This window comes from Homo sapiens, chromosome 5 (assembly GCF_000001405.40).
Source record: "Homo sapiens chromosome 5, GRCh38.p14 Primary Assembly".
NCBI classification, from domain to species: domain Eukaryota; kingdom Metazoa; phylum Chordata; class Mammalia; order Primates; family Hominidae; genus Homo; species Homo sapiens.
The window spans coordinates 21,810,620-21,829,160 of record NC_000005.10 but is presented as its reverse complement, the minus strand read 5'-3'; the positions used below and the strand labels follow the sequence as shown (position 1 = coordinate 21,829,160).

At 33.6% G+C, this 18,541-nt stretch overlaps 1 protein-coding gene and 1 long non-coding RNA gene across 11 annotated transcripts in view, besides 2 other annotated features; one reads left to right on the top strand and one right to left on the bottom strand.

Annotated features, from left to right (window-relative positions):
• The window catches only part of CDH12 (cadherin 12), a 1,102,672-nt gene that overhangs the window by 1,024,184 nt on the left and 59,947 nt on the right, over positions 1-18,541 (top strand). For all 10 annotated transcript variants that reach the window (NM_001364104.2, NM_004061.5, NM_001364106.2 and 7 more), the window contains 1 exon segment: positions 12,029-12,216. In NM_001364104.2, the coding sequence (NP_001351033.1) occupies positions 12,029-12,216 (188 nt within the window).
• Positions 2,548-5,634, bottom strand: LOC105374683 (uncharacterized). The gene is made up of 3 exons (XR_925846.3): positions 5,526-5,634; positions 5,202-5,250; positions 2,548-2,643 (listed from the first exon to the last, which is right to left on the bottom strand). It is a non-coding gene; the product is annotated as an uncharacterized LOC105374683 (long non-coding RNA).
• Positions 4,226-5,425: an enhancer, noted in NCBI's record as "BRD4-independent group 4 enhancer chr5:21823845-21825044 (GRCh37/hg19 assembly coordinates)". NCBI's record gives its function as "activates an origin of replication core promoter dependent on BRD2, P300/CBP, MED14 and CDK7 cofactors, and independent of BRD4, by STARR-seq in HCT116 cells {active_cell/tissue: HCT116}" and the evidence as "EXISTENCE:reporter gene assay evidence [ECO:0000049][PMID:35650434]".
• Positions 15,881-16,075: a silencer, noted in NCBI's record as "fragment chr5:21813195-21813389 (GRCh37/hg19 assembly coordinates)". NCBI's record gives its function as "represses an EF-1alpha promoter that drives an FKBP-Casp9 reporter gene in an ReSE screen in K562 erythroleukemia cells {active_cell/tissue: K562}" and the evidence as "EXISTENCE:reporter gene assay evidence [ECO:0000049][PMID:32094911]".

The following is an 18,541-nucleotide window of genomic DNA, read 5'->3' as shown; positions in this document are numbered from 1 at the left end:
ACCACACCTGATTAATTTTTGTATTTTTAGTAGAGACAGGGCTTTGCCATGTTGGCCAGGCTGGCCTCAGACTCCTGACCTCAGCTGACTGCCTGCCTCGGCCTCCCAAAATGCTGGGATTACAGGCATGAGCCACTGCGCCCAGAGAGGTAGGGAGATTTTCAAGTTAATGCACATTTACACTACTTGGAGTAAAAACAATATATACCTAAATATTTAGACCATTGCAAAAAAAAAAAAAAAAAAAAAAAAGACATAGGATTTAAAGGGTTGTAAGCATACAAATGTGAAACAAATAAAATTGCAAAGACAAAAGGAAAAAAAAATCATCAAAATGTGGCTTTAGGTTGTCCCTGAAAGAATAATAGATTTTATACATAGAAATATGTAAAGTAGAAGACAAGTAAAACATTTTAGGTAAAAGCAACAAAACAGGGATGACACAGAAAATATTAAAAAAATAAAATGCGGGAAAAGACAGAAAATGTAAACCATTGTGTCCATATGTGATACACGAATATATGATGAATATTTACAAATCAAATTTGCAAATTGGTGAATGGGTTGTTATGAAAGAATTAGTTTTGTCTAAAAGAAAGCAAAATATACATGGGAAGAGACCATTACCAAATTTCATCTTTTTTAGACTACTCTCCTGTGTCTCAGAAGAAAACCAGTGAGAAGTCAAACTTGTGAGTAAATACATATCCCCAGCTAACTTAAAATTTTCAGTGTTTTTGGCCAGGCTCAGTGGCTCACGCCTGTAATCCCAGCACTTTGGGAGGCCGAGGCAGGTGGATCACTTGAGGTCAGGAGTTCAAGACTAGCCTGACCAATATGGTGAAACCCCGTCTTTACTAAAAATACAAAATTAGCTGGCCATGGTGGCATGCAACTGTAGCCCCGGCTACTTGGGAGGCTGAGACAGGAGAATTGCTTGAACCCGGAAGGTGGACGGTGCAGTGAGATGAGATCCTGTCACTGCACTCCAGCCTGGGCAACAGAGTGAGACTCCATCTCAAAAAAAAAAAAAAATTCATTGTTTTTCAAAGCTTATTTTGTAAGGTGTTAAATTTATTTATAATTTATGAAAAAACTTTTAGTGTTGCTTGTGGCATATTTTTGTAAAGTTATTAGGCAGTATCACTGAGAATTTTCCATTTACCATATATTGTTAAATGGATCAGAAATTACCTAGATAAAGACAACATAAACAAAGGTTTAAATATTCAATGGAGGTTTTAAGAGAATATTAAATGTACTTCATGAAATATATAACAATGAAAAATTATTGATGCACTTGAAATGTTGTGAACTCTTGCCAAAATTGCCGTCATGTTTATTATTGTGTAACAAGAATAGTGATTATATAAATCACTTATGTTAAAAATACATACTTTGGAGAATCAGAAACCCCAATTTTTCTGAAAATCATTAAGTAATATAAGTTGGTTTTGTACCATAGCCTATTTGGAATTGGGTTGGTTGGAATTTCTGATGCATTTGCTTTAAAAAATAATGTTACAATGGACAATTAGTTTTGCAGATAGGCATTTATTAAACATAATAAGTAGTAGAACTATAGTATTAAACGTAATAATTCGTACTTTAATGTTGTGAGCTTTGTAAGAAGAAAGGAAGAATTGGAAAAACAGAAAGAGATGTAATAAGTTTTCTTTTCTTTCTTGGGTGCAGTAGCAGAATTATTTTATGTTTAGTGCCCTATCCTCTTCTAGAACCTTGTCACATCTCCTAATGACCTTTTTTTTAAAGGTTTTCATGGAGTTTTCTCTCCAATCACTGAAAAGGGAAACTTTCCTCAAGTGTGCCCAATCCACTCAATACTTAGTAAATTGAAATTTGCATCACTCAGTCTAGCTAAAATTAAGAATTTTGAATTTTCTGAATTTTAAAAGATCTTATGGATCAACCAAATATTGTATCTATTTGGTTGACTTTCAGGCAGCACAACCAAGTCAACAGAAGTGGGCAGACAAAATGAGGAACTATGTTTTCAATCAGAGATACTACTTGCTTGACTCACCTCATGGCCATTAGCCCCCAGCTTGCTCATTTGTAGACTGATAGTAGGTTCTACCAGATCAGCAGAACCAATTGTGCCTTTTTCTTCTCAACTGTGTGTTCAAGACATCACGATAGTAGCTTGATATAGGTCATGGTGGGAGCTCTTACACCACAGCAATGAACAGACCCTGAACATTAGGGCTCATACCTGTTTTTTCTCCCTATCCCAATATAGTTCTAAAATATTTACCAGGATATAACTGACTGGAAGTTACAGTAATAGCAGGTATCTCATAGTCTTGATGTGAAGATAAAATTAGTTAATAATGGAAACGTGCTTAGAAAAGTGCCTGGAAAATAGAAAGCACTATATAAGTGGTTGCTGTTACTAAGTGTCTATTCCTCTTAAAGAATAATTTCTATTTAAAAATTTATTCGTTTCCTTCATGTTGACACACATGGATTTTCTAAAAGGGTAATTTCCCCGCTACATGAAAGAAGACAATGAGTTTTTACCTAGGAGTGATGGAAATGACCTCTCTATCCTTGCTGTGCAGAATGGAAAGACACCTCAGGCCAGGGGTAGAGAATAATGTCAGAAGACCAGTTAGCAGGCATCTGCAGTAACAGAAAAGAAGTATGAGTCTGTGATGGTGGTGACCAGGGCCATTGTGAAAAATGGTAGCGTGTCAACAGATTTGAGTGATTTTAGGAGGTAAAATAATCAATAATAGCAGTGGATTTGCTACTAAGAAGCAGATTCTAGTTCATGGAACTGGAGAGGTGGAAATACTACTTGCTGAGAGAGTGACTAGTAGGAGAATCTTCATCTAGGCATGGCAAGTCTATGATCTCATGTTTGAATATGTCAAAACTGAGACACCTTGGAGATATCCAAGTAATGTTTTGGAATAAGATGATATTTTGCCAAGTATAGTAGGAAAACTCAAAAGCTGAATATAGGCTGGAGTTAAAATAAAAAGAATGTTTAGCATAATGATAGTAAATGAAGCAAAAGGGAGAGATGAAGTTACCTAGGAAAAGGAAAGACTGAATAAACATAGCCTGCAAAAATGGTTCTTGACCACGTTTGTAAAGTAGAACAGGAGGGAATTTAATAAATGCAGCTCTAAACTCAGAACAACTAAACAGAATCTCTTTGGATGGTCCCTGGGCTAAAGCATTTAAAAAACTGTTTAACTTTCCAGATGATACCAAAATGCAACCAAGTTTGAGAATCACTTATCCAGATCTTTTCTAAGAATTTCCACAAAGGAATCTGGCAAGGAGAGAGCTGCAAGGTGGGAGGAAACTATGATAGTAGAGTGCCAGAAAACCGTAATTGTAGAGTCTCAGAAGAGATGTGCTTCAGAAAACAGGGAATAGCCAAGAGTGTTGAACACTGCTAAGACATTGCCACTGGATTTTAGTGGCAAGGAAGTCACTATATCTCAGGGGAAACTTTACTACACAATGATGGGTTCAGTCAGCAGGGTAAGGCTGCTTGTGGAGTGGTTGTTAAGTAGGCATGGGTAACAGTGTTTCTCTTGGAAAAGTTCTGTTGGAAAGGGAAAAGAAAATGATGGGGGTAACTAGAATCAGATTTGGGACAAGGGAGAATTTTTGTTAAGATGCTCAAATATGAGCAGTTTGTGTCTCATCAAGAATAACTCTATTGAGAAGAAAGTATTGAGTGCAGAGAAAACAGATTCTTTAAAAATAGCAAAATGTGTACAAATTGTTGGAGTTTAAGAAGAAAAAGTGGAGATGAAGGACACTTCAATTGAAAGAATGCTTACAGCTATAACAAGAGGTTAATACTGAAGTATGCACTATAAAGCTAACATACAATAGATACTACATAGCAGAGTATGGTCTCAGATCAGAATTTACAATGGAAATATCAGGATGCTTTTAAGGCTCTTGTAGCTTTCAGTCATAGGAAGATATTTTGTTAGTTTTTTTTCTTTTTTTTTTTTTTTTGAGATAGAGTCTCACTCTGTCCCCCAGGCTGGTGTGCAGTGGCATGATCTCAGCTCACTGCAACATCTGCCTCCCTGGCTCAAGTGATTATCCTGCCTCAGCTCCCAAGTAACTGGGATTACGGGCACACACTACCACACCCGGCTAATTTTTTTATTTTTGGTAGAGATGGAGTTTCACCATGTTGGCCAGGCCGGTCTCGAACTCCTGAGCTCAGGTGATCGGCCCCTCTTGGCTTCCCAAAGTGCTGGGATTACAGACTTGAGCCACTGTGCCTGGGCAATATTTTGTTAGTCTTTTAAAGCATGTTTTGTAGAGTGTGAAGTAGAGGGAAAATTATGTGCAGAGGATTTCTTTGGAGAAAGCCATGTGTAGTCCCTGTCTACTAAAAGTGAGTGGTAGGATTGTCCTTCCTACTCCTCTCAAGTTTGGTGAATGGGGCCTTCCATTTAGCTAAGACAAACAATAAACTCTAATATATTTTCCCAGAAAATGGGGGAAATTCATGGAATGATATGCGTCTCATGCTGAGGAAAGTTAAAATCTCCTGAAAACAGCAGAGAAAGGAAAAGAGAACAAGGCTGTGTTTGGGAAACTAATTGTATGACAACAAAAGGAATGGCAAGAAATGAGTAAGCAGAAGGGAAAACCAACCCAACATTATGTTAAGTCCTGCCAAAGAGATTCTCCTTGAAGCGAGAATCTGCCTGTGGAGTGGGTCGCCTGAAATCTGGAGGCTGAGGTCATAGTCCATCAAAGCAGAGGCAATGCCATTGGTGTGGAGGCTGCTGCAAGAGAAACTTCCAAGAGCTGCCCCCAAGTGCACTGTGCAGCTCCAGAGAAGCAAAAACCACATCATCAAGTAAGAACAGTCCAGCCTCCTAACTTTGCTGCCTCCAATGGTGAGGTGAAAACACCCCAGGAAAGGAGATGATGAAAAAAAAATTAAAAATTTGGACAGAGAAAGGCTGCTAATCCATCCAGATCCCAACTCAATGTCCCATCTGCTGCTGGCTCTAATTGGCTTGGACGTGGGTGGGGTGGCCAAGGGGAGAAGTCTTAATTTTGCATATGGATTGATGTGCTAGTTAATATGATTTATTGGAAATGTCTAACTTCCAAATCTATGTTTTTAGAATTAAAGTGAACATAGGATTATTATTTAATAGTGAGAAGAAACATCATTTACTCACCATTGTCTTCATCCAAGAAAAGACAAAGCATACCCCGACAGAAGAAAGTCTAAAGGAAGAGTGAGAGACAAATAAAAAAAAAAGTTTGTATCATATCTTACATGTTATGATTATTCAAACTGTGAGTCACACTGATGTAGGATCCTTTGAAGGTTGGGGAAGCTGAGCAATCTCCTGTGCAACATCATTTTTTTTTCTTTTTCTGTGAACTACAAGGCAAGGTCACCAACTGAGAAAGGAAGTAGTAAAGGGAGTACTTAAGCAGATATTTAAGGACAGTAGATCAGTTCAAAATAGAAGTCACAGAGAATGGTAGTCAGTTACCTTTGCAAATCTGTGTGCTTTTTAAGCAATTTTGAAGGGGCATTCAAAGTTAATGATCATAATTTATAGTAATATCTAGTTGCTTCTCTATGGTTTTCCTCAGTAAACCATCCCTCCTCCTTTAGAAGGAAGATAATTATCATCATCAAGAGTTAGGGTTTGCCAAATTGCAGCAACAAAAGTACATGGCCAAGCTATATAGGCTATAGGTTAATATACTAGAGGTGCTTCTGACATTAGAGATGATAGGTCCCAGTGGGAGTTATTGAACAAACAAACTGGTAAGACAGGAAACTATGATCATATCACCTTTGTCATATGGTTACTTCTGTTTGGAATGTTTTCTATTAGCTGACCTCACAGAACCCAATGGTATTGTCTCAGCTCGGATTCTCAGTTTAAACATTGAATAGAATTGTGTAACTTTCCTTTAGAGCGCTGGTGTTTTTTTCTGCTATTTTACTTTTTTGTGTGATTGTTTAATTGACTTCTCTCCCACTAGACCATAAATGCCATCAAGAAAAACACTTGTCTTTTTGTTTATGTGTTTTTCCTTGTCATTCCATGAAGGAGACCACTAAAAACTGTAGTTGAATCAAATATCAATAATCTGAGATACCGGAAAATTAAGCAATTAATCTACTATGCAAAGATAATTTTTGAAAGACAATTTAATATCGAGCCTTAAATTTTTCTATTGCGTTTAGCTGCTCAGAACTAGAAAAAAGTTTACAGGAATAAATTTCTCATTGTTCAGAGACAAGAAATATTGCTATTGTTACAGAAAATTTATAAATCTTAATTCATTAATATGACGGATATTGTGTGCATGGCAATTCTTATTCATGTATATGGTTAGTTAAAATCGAGAATGGGCAAATATAACATCTCAAAAGCGAAGTAATTTAACCAATAAAGTGAAGCTCTAGTGCCAAATACTTGACACTTAAAAACTATGCCCATCCTAGCCTCATCCTGGGAATGAGCAGCAGTGGATGTTTCTGTTATTACTGAGAGATTCCATTCACTGTATGTTTAGTATGCTTGACTAAAATCCAGCTTGAACCCAGCTTTGTTATCAGGATAGTTCTTTCTTATGGACAACATTTCTATTACTTTAATTTGGGCATATTGAAAATACAGCCTCAGGCTTTTAAGGAAATAGAGGGCATAAAATGTTCTTCCACCACCAAAACATTTTTTTTCTTCCTGAATCCTCCAATTTTAAAGATATGGGAAAATATTTTAATTAAAATTAAAACGACTTTTTAGAACTCTTTTAAGATCTGTCTTTCTTTCATCTCCACACCTCTATAGACAGTTTCCTATTGGCTATTGCCATTCTGATAGGAAAAATTATAATACATATAGACTATACAAATATTATATACAAATATTATAATATACAAATATTATAAAAGTTAACTAGTAATAAATAATACTGAATGAGTTTCATGCACTTTTGTATAAGTGACTTTCAAAAACAAATCTATAAAGTAGATATTGTTATACTAATTTTACAGATCAGGAAAAGAGAGATATTTTAAACGATCAGGAAAAGAGGGATGTTTAAAATATTTTGCCCAGGGTCACAGAGCTACAGGTACACAATTTCTATAAAGTTTCTTTTTACTCACACAATATGTTGTTTACTTGTATTTCCTTTTCGTGTTGTTTAAGTAAGGTGAAATAATTTTGTGTGATACATATTTAAGAAATTTAAAAAAATAAAATATTGATACAACAAAATTTTATTTCTAAGCCATTAGAAGGTAAATCACTCACACACACAAAAAGTATGCAGGATCATTTGAACAATCTAATGTTTGAATTCAATTACTGAATCAATAGTTCAGTGCTATATTTATTTTTTGAAGTTTAAATTGAAATGTAATATTTCAAATCATAGTCTATTTAGTTGGAATCAAGTGTATGTTTTTGAGTTTTTAAAAATGTTTAACATTTTCATCAATTTGAAATAATTTGTTCTTAAGCCCTCCAATATTTCTAGTGTTCTTGTATTATTAAATATGAATTATATTCACATTAGTTACTTGTATTTAGGTAACTTATTTGCAGTTAAACATTGACTTCCTTTTTTTTAAGTAACTTTAGAATTATTGTTACATAAAGATAAAATAAAATGTATTTCAAAAGTGAGTTTGTAATGGATTATTTTATCTTCTTTTTAACTTGCTATTGGTGTCATTGAATGTTGTGGTATTTTTAAAGTCATTCATTCACTTAATATATTTGTTCAGGTCCTATAATCTTTATTTTTAAGTAAAGATCTTCATTTATATTTTGTCAAGTAAATATATTTATTTTGGTGTTTTCATCAGTATCTGGAAATTTCCTGCAATAAACAAAAAAAGGAAGGTAAATATATTTTACATCCTTTTTTTTTAAAGTAGCAATGCATGTCCCCTACCTGTCCCCACTCTCCCCGCCCGACACACAGTTTAAGTCCTAATCAGTATCTTTTCAAATGACATAGTTACTGAGAGGATACTTAGCTTATAACTACCTGATTTTTTTCTACTCTTGGAACTAACAGGGAATATTATATTTAAGAATATGATCATTATAATTAGTTCACTGCATGCAATTTCCTCCTTTTCTATGGGAAAATGAAGATTTTGGCTAAGCACAATAGGTATATTTGATGAATTGTAAATATATATTTTTATTGACTGTGGACAATCTCTTGTCACCTGTTTTATTTCTCAATTTGTGTGGTACAGGTAGTGCCATTAAGATGTTTCATATGCATCAAAAGTAGGACGCCTGGAAGACGGTGGCGGTGTAATTACACAGTACATCATGAACAATCCAACTTTGGCATAGCTGAAGATTACTTCACAGTTTTGAATTAATCTGAATGACCTCAGCTTTATTGCTGTTGAGATTCCAGACATGATAAAATGTCAAGTCATTGGAAATAAACCGACAGAACCTAAACAATCTGACATGACAAATGCATAGTTTCTCTGACTTGTTCCATATTCTGCAGACTTTATTACCAGCTGTAATATTTTATTAAGAAACACTTATCTTAATGAACGTGTCTTCCACCTTACTAAAATGTATGTCTGCTGTGTAAAGAGTAGAAAATCTATTGCTCTGTATATTTGCATTTCACATGCACTAAAACTTAACACACACAAAAAGTAATCATTGCTTTACTTTTATCTTAATTTTGAAGGGGTGCATGTTAGTGGAATGCTAGTAAATCAATCATTATTGGACAATGCTATTATTTCAATTTATCACAATTTTTCAATGCCATTAGATAAAAATGGAATTTGTTGGCACTCTCTATGCTGACAACTTAAAACAAAACACCCTATTTAACTTAAATTGATAGAATACTACAAAGAATAGCTTTCTTTACATTTATTGTGACTAGCCCCATAAAATGTTCTTTTATAGAACATAAAGTTCGTATCTCAGCATATTATTGTCTTGGAAAGGGGGCTCTTTCATCTGCAGTTTGAATTATCTGATGCCCTTTGGATTACCTTTCAATGCTTTAATTTTTTTTCCCCCATATTGGAGGATCTCAACTCTGGCTAAACTCTTCACCTTCACTAACCATAATCCATTAGAGAGGACTCCAGGCTCTATCATTTTCATCGATGTGTAATTTCCTTTACTTTTGCTTTTAACCATCCAAATGTAAATGTAAAGCTAACTCATAAACCTAATATGTAACTTCAACTGGCTCTCATTGAATGGATTGGATGGAATAAACAGAAATGTCCCCAGCTCTTTAAGTGAGATGCACATGTGTTCCTAAATTTCTCATACTACTCCGCTCCTTATGACTCTCACTGTTTCACCCTTACCACTCCCACTGCTGGCCACATTTGAAGTTTGAAATCCACTATACTTGACGGCTCTCTGTCTCTCTGAACACTTGTTCAGTTATTTCCTTGATAATGTTTACCCCTAAGTTTCCTACTAAATGTCCTAATCAAGAAGGATTTCTAGTACACTATTCAACATCGACTTCCATTTCTCTCTTTTATTAGAAAAAAAATTTAGACTTTTTCTAACACTCATTTATGAGCCACGAGTTTGGACTATGACCAATCGTACCGTGAATTCAAAGCTTTTGATGTTCCTCAGATACTTCATCACAGTCACACAACAAGAGGCAAAAGATACAAACACAGTTTCTGATAAATCGTATTTCCATTTAACGGGCATTTTAGAAGAAAAAAAGGAAAATGAAAAATTACACGTTCTGTGCCTTGTCCTTTTTCTTTGGAATTTGTCCTTAAGTTTAGTACAACTGTAATAACTTTGTCACATGCTTTCTTGCCTCATTAAACAGAAGTTCAGGGACCCTTATATTTCCTAATATCTCAGGAGTGCCTCACTAGGATCATGGTTTAATTTATCTATTAAGAAATATTTATGATCTAAAGAAAGTAGTTCCAAAAGCCATGATAGATTCTGCTTATGTAATTAAGGCTATTTGAAATCAGATAGATTCCTCCTGAATATCTGGCTTTATCCTTCTGGTAGAAAATAGGAATGCAATGTAACCCATTCTTTTGTTTTTCTTCTTTGATTTGATTGCCTCAAATTCAATCACTGCTTTAAGTTCAGCAAACATTAAGCATCCCTAAATGACAGCTACTATGTTAAGTGCTTAGGAAATAAAAATAAAACAATAATCCTACCCTATGAGAAATTACTACTTTGATCAATTAATGTGACTTTCCTTAACTGAGATTCCTTCATAATATCTATGTAACATTTTAGCATTGTGACTTGGAAGGAGTTTTTTGTTGTTGTTGTTAGGTCTATAATGTTTATTTTTTTATTTATTTAAACTTTTAAGTGCATTTTTGAGAAAGATTCCTCATACCCTCTTTGAAAGTATGAATTAACTAAGCTAATTATTTAAATATAACTCTTGTGGACCACTGTAAAGTATCATTTTGTCTTATATGTAAAATAAACAAACTTTAGTTGAGTATTTAGCTCTCTTGAGACCAAATCACATATATGTTCCATGGAGATAATATGTTGGATTTAAATACGGCTGATCTGCATATTCAAGATAAATGGTAGATACCATTTTCTGGGGGAAGGAGGGAAGAAGGGAGATTTAACTGCTTCCCATGCTAATGAAATTACCAAGTTTTGAAACTGATTGTGAAAGAACTACAGGACCTCAAAAAATAATGGGAAATCAAAAAGAAAATATCTGGCAGAATCTCTACAAGATGTGATTGATTTTTTTCTCACACCTTCTTGGAGAAAATAACTGTAATATTGTAACATGATTTTTTAATGAACTTCCCTATGCAACAGACATTTATAGTAACTTCTTAATTTATTTTCCACAAATGTGTAACTAAAATTCTAAAACGAATGAATCACCATGGTTGATTTACCCATGGGAAAGAGCCATTCTAAATCCGGTAAGAGAAACTGAAAGTGGAACTCCAGTATCAAAATGGAAACTTTAGATTTTGGTGTTTAGTTTTGTTTCTTAATTTTTATTTTCTCTCATTTCCTTTCCTCATTTGAATTTGAACAGACTGTTGTTAAACTCATTAATATTTGCTTTAATGAAATGTCAGTAAAAGAGCATGCACTATATCTTTCTTGTGTGTCAAACTTTGAAAAATTCTACAAAACCTTAAAATAATGTCTATGTTTTTATTTTTTTGTAGAGTATTACAATTTTCCATGATTCTGAAATGTTTTATCTAAGTTTTGCTGATTCAGTATAAATTTCATAGTAATATAAACGCTCCACCTGGTGGTAAAAATAAGCATTTTACTTTTTTTTCTTTCTTAATGCTATTAAAAAACTTCGGGAGACAGAACTTTATGATTTAAAATATCAGTAAAAGTATATAGAAAGGTGACAAGTTAAAATTCACTAAATATAAGCTGAATCTTAGTCTATAATATACTATATTTCAATCTATCATCGACTAGAATTTTGATTATACAAATTATTTTACAGGTTATTTTTAGTTTAATGATGTATACTTATTGAAGTCATTAGTTTTAGGAAATATAACCTCAACTTTCTATATCTATATATCTATCACCTATCTATCTATCTATCATCTATCTATCATCTATCTATGTATCTATAACTTTTTATCTATGTCTTGCAACCTGTATTATTAGTACCAATTAATTTCATGAATAGTCCCACCCTCCCATTTGATATGTGGTACACTTTTATGCCATATAAGTGTGTAAAACAAGTCCTGCTAATAATTTTACTTTAGCATTCTCTACTATTTATAATGCCCAGTTAAAATTCTAGAGCAGCACATATTGAAGAGAAAAGTGAAGTTATTACTCCTAATCATAATCCTTAACTTGACAGCAAATTGCCTTTTCAATTTGCACTATAATGTTCTAAATGTGATTTACTTTCAGTGGACTCTATTTTTCAAGCCTTGTAATCTTACTATATCTCTTACTAACCCCACTGTCAATTCAAATTTTATATGTCTTATCAGGCATCTTCCACTTGAAAGTTCCTGAGTCTTCCCCTATTGGTTCAGCTATTGGAAGAATAAGAGCTGTGGATCCTGATTTTGGACAAAATGCAGAAATTGAATACAATATTGTTCCAGGAGATGGGGGAAATTTGTTTGACATCGTCACAGATGAGGATACACAAGAGGGAGTCATCAAATTGAAAAAGGTATATAGACAAATGTTGGGACAGTTGACTACTAAATAATAATTAAAGAAGATAAAAAATAAATATTGAAAATGACAAGTAATTTTAATTTTCCTTCAATTAGCAATAGAGTTGACCCTTGAACCATGTGAGAGTTGGGGTACTGATACTCCGTGCCGTCAAAAATCTGCATGTATCTTTTGGATCTTACAAAATTTCCGTACTAATAGCTTACTCTTGACCAGAAGCTTTACCAATCACATAAACATTTGACACATAGTTTGTATCTTATATATAGTATATACTCTATTCTTTTTTTTTTTTTTTTTTTTTTTTTTTTTGAGATGGAGTTGCACTCTGTTACCCAGGCTGGAGTGCAGTGGTGAGATGTCAGCTCACTGCAAACTCTGCATCCCAGTTTCAAGGGATTCTCCTGCCTCAAACTCCTGAGTAGCTGGGATTACAGATGTGCACCACCACGCCCGGCTAGTTTTTGTATTTTTAGTAGAGAAGGGATTTCACCATGTTGGTCAGGCTGGTCTCAAACTCCTGACCTCGTGATCCACCTGCCTCGGCCTCCCAAAGTGCTGGGGTTATAGGCGTAAGCCACCACACCCAGCCGTATATACTGTATTCTTACAATAAAGTAAGCTAGAGAGGAGAAAATGTTATTAAGAAAATCATAAGCAAAAGGAAATGTATTTACTATTTGTTAAGCACTAGTGGATCATCATAAAGGTCTTCATCCTCATCATCTTCACATTGAGTAGGCTGAGGAGAAGGAGGAAGAGGAGGGGCTGGTATTGCTGTGTCAGGGATGGCAGAGGCAGAGGAAAATCCACATATAAGTGGCCCTGCACAGTCCAAACCCATGTTGCTCAGGAGTCAACTGTATTTTAAATTGAAAACAAAAAAGACCTAGTGATGCTGAGTATTTACTTCTATAGGTGCTATTATTCTGTGATTCAACTATTATATATTTTATGTTGAACAATTAGGCCTGATAATTTGATGACATCATTTAAAAAAGATTCTTACAGAGTTTAATTGTAACCTAATTTTTTATTGCTATAAATATAGACAAAAGATTAATTTAAAAACAAGATTGAGAAGTAACTCTAACCCCATCAGTCTTGATATTGAGCCTTTTTATGGTTCTTCTGAAGATATAAATATCTAATTCACCACAATGTTGGTTGATATCACAGTGGAAGCATACTGATGCGTGTAAGCTCTAAACACCTGAGAACTAGAAGAAATGTGAAAGGCCAGTAATGGACGTGAGAGAGCTTTAAGGAAGAAAGTGAAAAAGAATTACCAAGAAACCGAGAGAGAGAGAAAGACAGACTGCGCTGGGAAGCTGTTTAGTAATGACATATGGATTAGAGCCAAAGAGGATTGCTGAGGGCAAAGTTAGTTGAAATATTAGGAAGAAATTATTATTTACAGTGTCTGTAGTTTTGTCTTTTGTTGGGTGGTGACATGAAGGAGTCTGTTAATGTGAGAAAGAAAAATTATAATGGCATTTAAGGTGTGCACATTTTTTCCATAATAGTGAGGCAAATTATAGGAATTTCCAATAGCAAAGTAAAGGCAGAAAAGTGAAGCTCATTTAGTTCAGCCATTTCCTCCCCTTCTACAAAACACACTCCATTTTGAAGAATTTTGAAGAATATACTCCAAACTGCAGTATACAATACTCATTTACTCATTGTAATTATTTTAACCAGAATAAATACTTTGCATTTAGTTCCATTAATCAGTCTGCCCCTCCCATATTTGCTCAGGAATTCTGAATTTTAACAAGGAAGCAATATATATGGTAATGAAAATACTCTTAAAAAGAAACACATTTTTCAAATAGATTATCATATTTTTATTTCTACTATTGTGCAAAAATTACGCTTAGTCTAGAAATTAATTTAACCCACATGATCCCACTCTATTAAATTAAGCATTTATGTTAAATTTGCAAAGTACAGTTAGAAAAATATGTCAAATTCTTATCAACTTTACTCCTTCATTGTTATTTAGTTTGTTTTTCTCTTTTTCTTTTAGTCCCAAATCAATGTAAAGTCTTCTCACTTAATTTTTTCCCTAAGAAGGTCTCCAACAAAGAAATCACATTTAAATGGGTTACAATCATCTATTCAAATGGAACAAATAAAAATCATTAATAATATAAAAAATATTTTAAATTAAGAAGTCATAATATTTAAATATAAAATTAAGTATACTTCCAAAGTAAAATTAAGGTACGAAAGATTCAATTCTAGATATACTTTATATATATTTATGTTTATATACTTATTTATATTTAATTATTGTAACTTACTTTATATTCACACACATAGTTTTATGTTTATGTTTTCATTTTTATTTACACATATTTACCACCTATACCAATAAGTAATCAATGTCTAGGTGTCAATCTAGAAAAATGTATGTCATTCTTATTTATTTTTAAAACAGTTGAAAAAGGCGTGGTTTAATAATAGTCCTTTATCTTATTATATCAAAACATATTAATCTTTGAAAGTAATCATTCAGTTATGTAAGTTCAACTATCATGAAAGCAATAAGAACATATCTGCCTTTTTCATTATGAAACATCTACAGAGAATGAGTCATGTTATTTATTTTTTGTATTTATTGTGTTTATTTAGAATTTTTATTCTTCTTAACTGGATTAAAATTGAGATATGCAAAATTATATAATACTTTTATTAAAATAGATTTAGATAGGGTAGATAATCTTGAAAGTATATCTGCAAATAAAACACACACACACACACACACACACACACACACACACACACACACTCATTTCTCCTGTGGTGGATGAATCATTGTTGTCCATTTTACTGGCCTGAAATTCATTATCTAAGTAAAGCTCAATGTCCATAACTTTCACTACTTCATTCAACAGGTATTTTGGAAGCAGCCACTGTTTTCCAGACTCCACTATGGAGATAGGGCAGTGAACTCAACAAACACACTGCCTGCACTCATACTCAGCTTCCATTCAACTGAGGACGTCAGGAGATAAACAAACAAATTAGAAATCACTTTCAGCAGTGATGAATTCAAGCTAGAAAGACTTAAAGTAGGATGAAGGGGTAAAAGGCATGTGGAGGGTGGAGGGTATCTTACAGTGAGGTGAAAAATAAAAAAAGACTTCTGTATTAGAAGGGAATATGAGCAAAAACCTGACCATGTGGTATTTGGGTGATGTGAGTTCCTAAAAGTTTGAGCAGCAATTTCAAAATCTCTGAATTGGGAGTGTACTAGGCAAGAAGGCCAGTGGGGCTGGAATGAAGTGAAGGAAGAGGGCCTTGGCCAGAGATGACGGGCTCGCCAGGCAGAGCCTTGTAGACCAGGCAAAGATGTTGAATTATTAACAGATCGTGATATAGAGAGCCCATGTGAGTGTAGATCTAGATCACTTTTACTCTTTTATTTATTTTTATTTATTTATTTATTTTGATATGGAGTTTTGCTCTTGTTGCCCAGGCTGGAGTGCAATGGAGGGATCTCGGCTCACTGCAACCTCTGTCTCCCAGGTTCAAGCGATTCTCCTGCCTCAGCCTCCCAAGTAGTTGGGATTACAGGTGCCTGCCAACATGCCTGGCTAATTTTTTGTATTTTTAGTAGAGAAGGGGTTTCACCATGTTTGTCAGGCTGGTCTTGAACTCCTGACCTCAGGTGATCCACCTGCCTTGGCCTCCCAAAGTGCTGGGATTACAGGCATGAGCCACCACACCTGGCCTCGCCTTACCCTTGTAGACCCAAGTGACTCTGGTTGTCTTAAGAGAACAGTAACTAGGAAATAATGAAAGCAATAGCTCAGTTAAGAGACCATAGAAGTAAACCGGGAAACAGATAGAAATGTGGAACGTGATGGTACAGCAACAGAGATGGTGAGAGATTGTGAGATTCTAAATAAATTGTAAAGGAACAGCCAAAACATATTTGTATAAATATTATCATCATCTGGTAAATTACACCAAGCATTTGAGACTTCAGAGCCTAATAAAACACATGGATTTTCTTTCAGTGTTGTAATTTGCTTTCATCTCTAAATATGGATCCACTAGAGGCAATCCCCTATGCTAACCTAGTGTTCTATTAGAAAGAACATTGTAGCCTGCACCCTACATCTATTGAATCTTTAAAAAATAACTCAGGAGGACATTTTTGTAATGAAACTTAAAAACTGTCCACCTATCTATTGTATATATTGTATCGTGTATTGTGTTTATATGCACACATGTACATAGATGCATTACTCAATTAAACATGATAGTATGACTTAATAAAAATGTGAGAAAATATCTCATTGAATAAAGCCCATAAAAATTCAAAATCAATTGAAACACTACAACAATTTTTTAAGTACAGAATGCTTTTGGGTAAAGACTGTAAAATAGTACTATACTCAAGCATATATTCAATAAGTTCTCAGAAAACTTCATCTTGCAATTATCATTAGGAATCCTTAAAGAATTAGGTGTATCTCAATAACTGTGTATGTAAACATCAACAGTAGTGTTGCAGATCCAGAATGATCTTAAATTATTTGTTAAGGTTTTCCCTTCAATATTGCAATACAAGAATTCTGATATAAAATCAGATTCATACAGAAATTACATTTTAAGTATACTAAATGCATTTAGAAAGTCCCAAATATATATTCTACATTTGAATATGTAGTCCTTTTTTAAACACCAGTTATTTTAATTTTTTAGCTAACAGATTTTGAGCTGCAATAGAGGAATGAGGCATGACATGCTTTGTTTTCAGAGTTTTTCTTTTTTTAACGCACTTAAGAATACATTAAAATACTAATGATCTGAAGTACATATTGTTATTACTGTTTTATCTTCAAAATCTTTTATTTGCTTTTCTTTCACTATTTTCTCCTCTGTCTATTTCCTGTATAGAGGGAGGGCTTGAGAAAACAAAAATGATGGTCAGGTTTAGATTAACTGAGAAGACTGAAGAAAGGCATTTTTATTTATTTTATTAACCTTAACTTTGATTCACTTTATGAGCCCTGTGACAGAATGCCATTTCACTGTGACAGAATGCCATTTCACTGTGACACTTCGAATTCAGAGGAACATTATGAAGCTTTATAAATTGCTCCAAGGCATAAGATATTGGTAAAACAAAACAAAACAAAACAAAATAAAAACTGCTTTTATTCCACCCTCACATCCTACCACTCTGAGAAAACTGTAAAAAAAAAAAAAAGCTTGTCCTATATGGTGTTGGGTGTTATAGCAATAAAACACTAATAAAATCAGAATAAAGTTTTTTAAAAATTCAAATTGTCTAGAAATTAAGAGGTGAGCTACATTTACAATGACAGAATAAGAGTTTTAAAATTCAATGGCTTCATTCTTAGTGAAAACCTAAATGAAATTTGTGTTTAGTCACTAGTGTTTTTTTTGCTACTGAATAAATGGGAATAAAATATATACTTCTTATATGTAAACATGGATAGTGAGTTACACGAATTAAAAGTTTTCAAGGACTCAAAATCTAAATATGGTTATAGAAGCACTTGAATTTTCTCCAAAGTGATTGCAAAATTTAAATAATTAAAATAATTAAGTGAATACTTGTTATCCAAAATAATAATTTAATATCCTGTATAATTTTTCAAACAGTTCTCTACCATTTCTACAAAACTTTCTCTTAGAAACTGTTTAAAATGAAGAGTGGTGAAGTTATTTCCTATTTAGTTTTTTTAAAAGTAAACCTTTTTTGGAATTAGAGACAGTGCTTACCATTTTGATGTTACTTGGCAATATTAGTTTATTTCAAATTAACATAACTGTGTGATCACATTAAATCCAAAGCAGAATTTTTCTTTTTCCTTAAAAACGTATGAGATAAATGATATTACTCTTCACAAAGAGCCTTTTAACAAATCGGCTAAGGTGCCAGTTGGTCCCACTGAGCATATATATATTTTATACTTACCCGTAAATCAGTAAAACTCTTTTTCTTTTTTCACGCTTGACAAATGAGTTCACATGATTTGGTAGCATAGCACCATCATGTGGTTAATTTTTGAATAACTCTTAAGAACAAAATGATAATAAAATTTGGAATATTTTACATAGCCAATCATACATGCCTCAGTTTAAGTTTAAAATAATGCTATTTTTAGCCACGCTAATGTACCTAATTAAAGAAAAAACACATGAATGCTGTTGTTTCTATATTATGTTTCTGTTTTTCTAAATATTTGTCTTCACCTTCTTTTGTAATACCTTACCTAGTTTCCCTAAAGTCTCATCAACTGTAACTTAGCCCTAAATCAACGTAACCACTG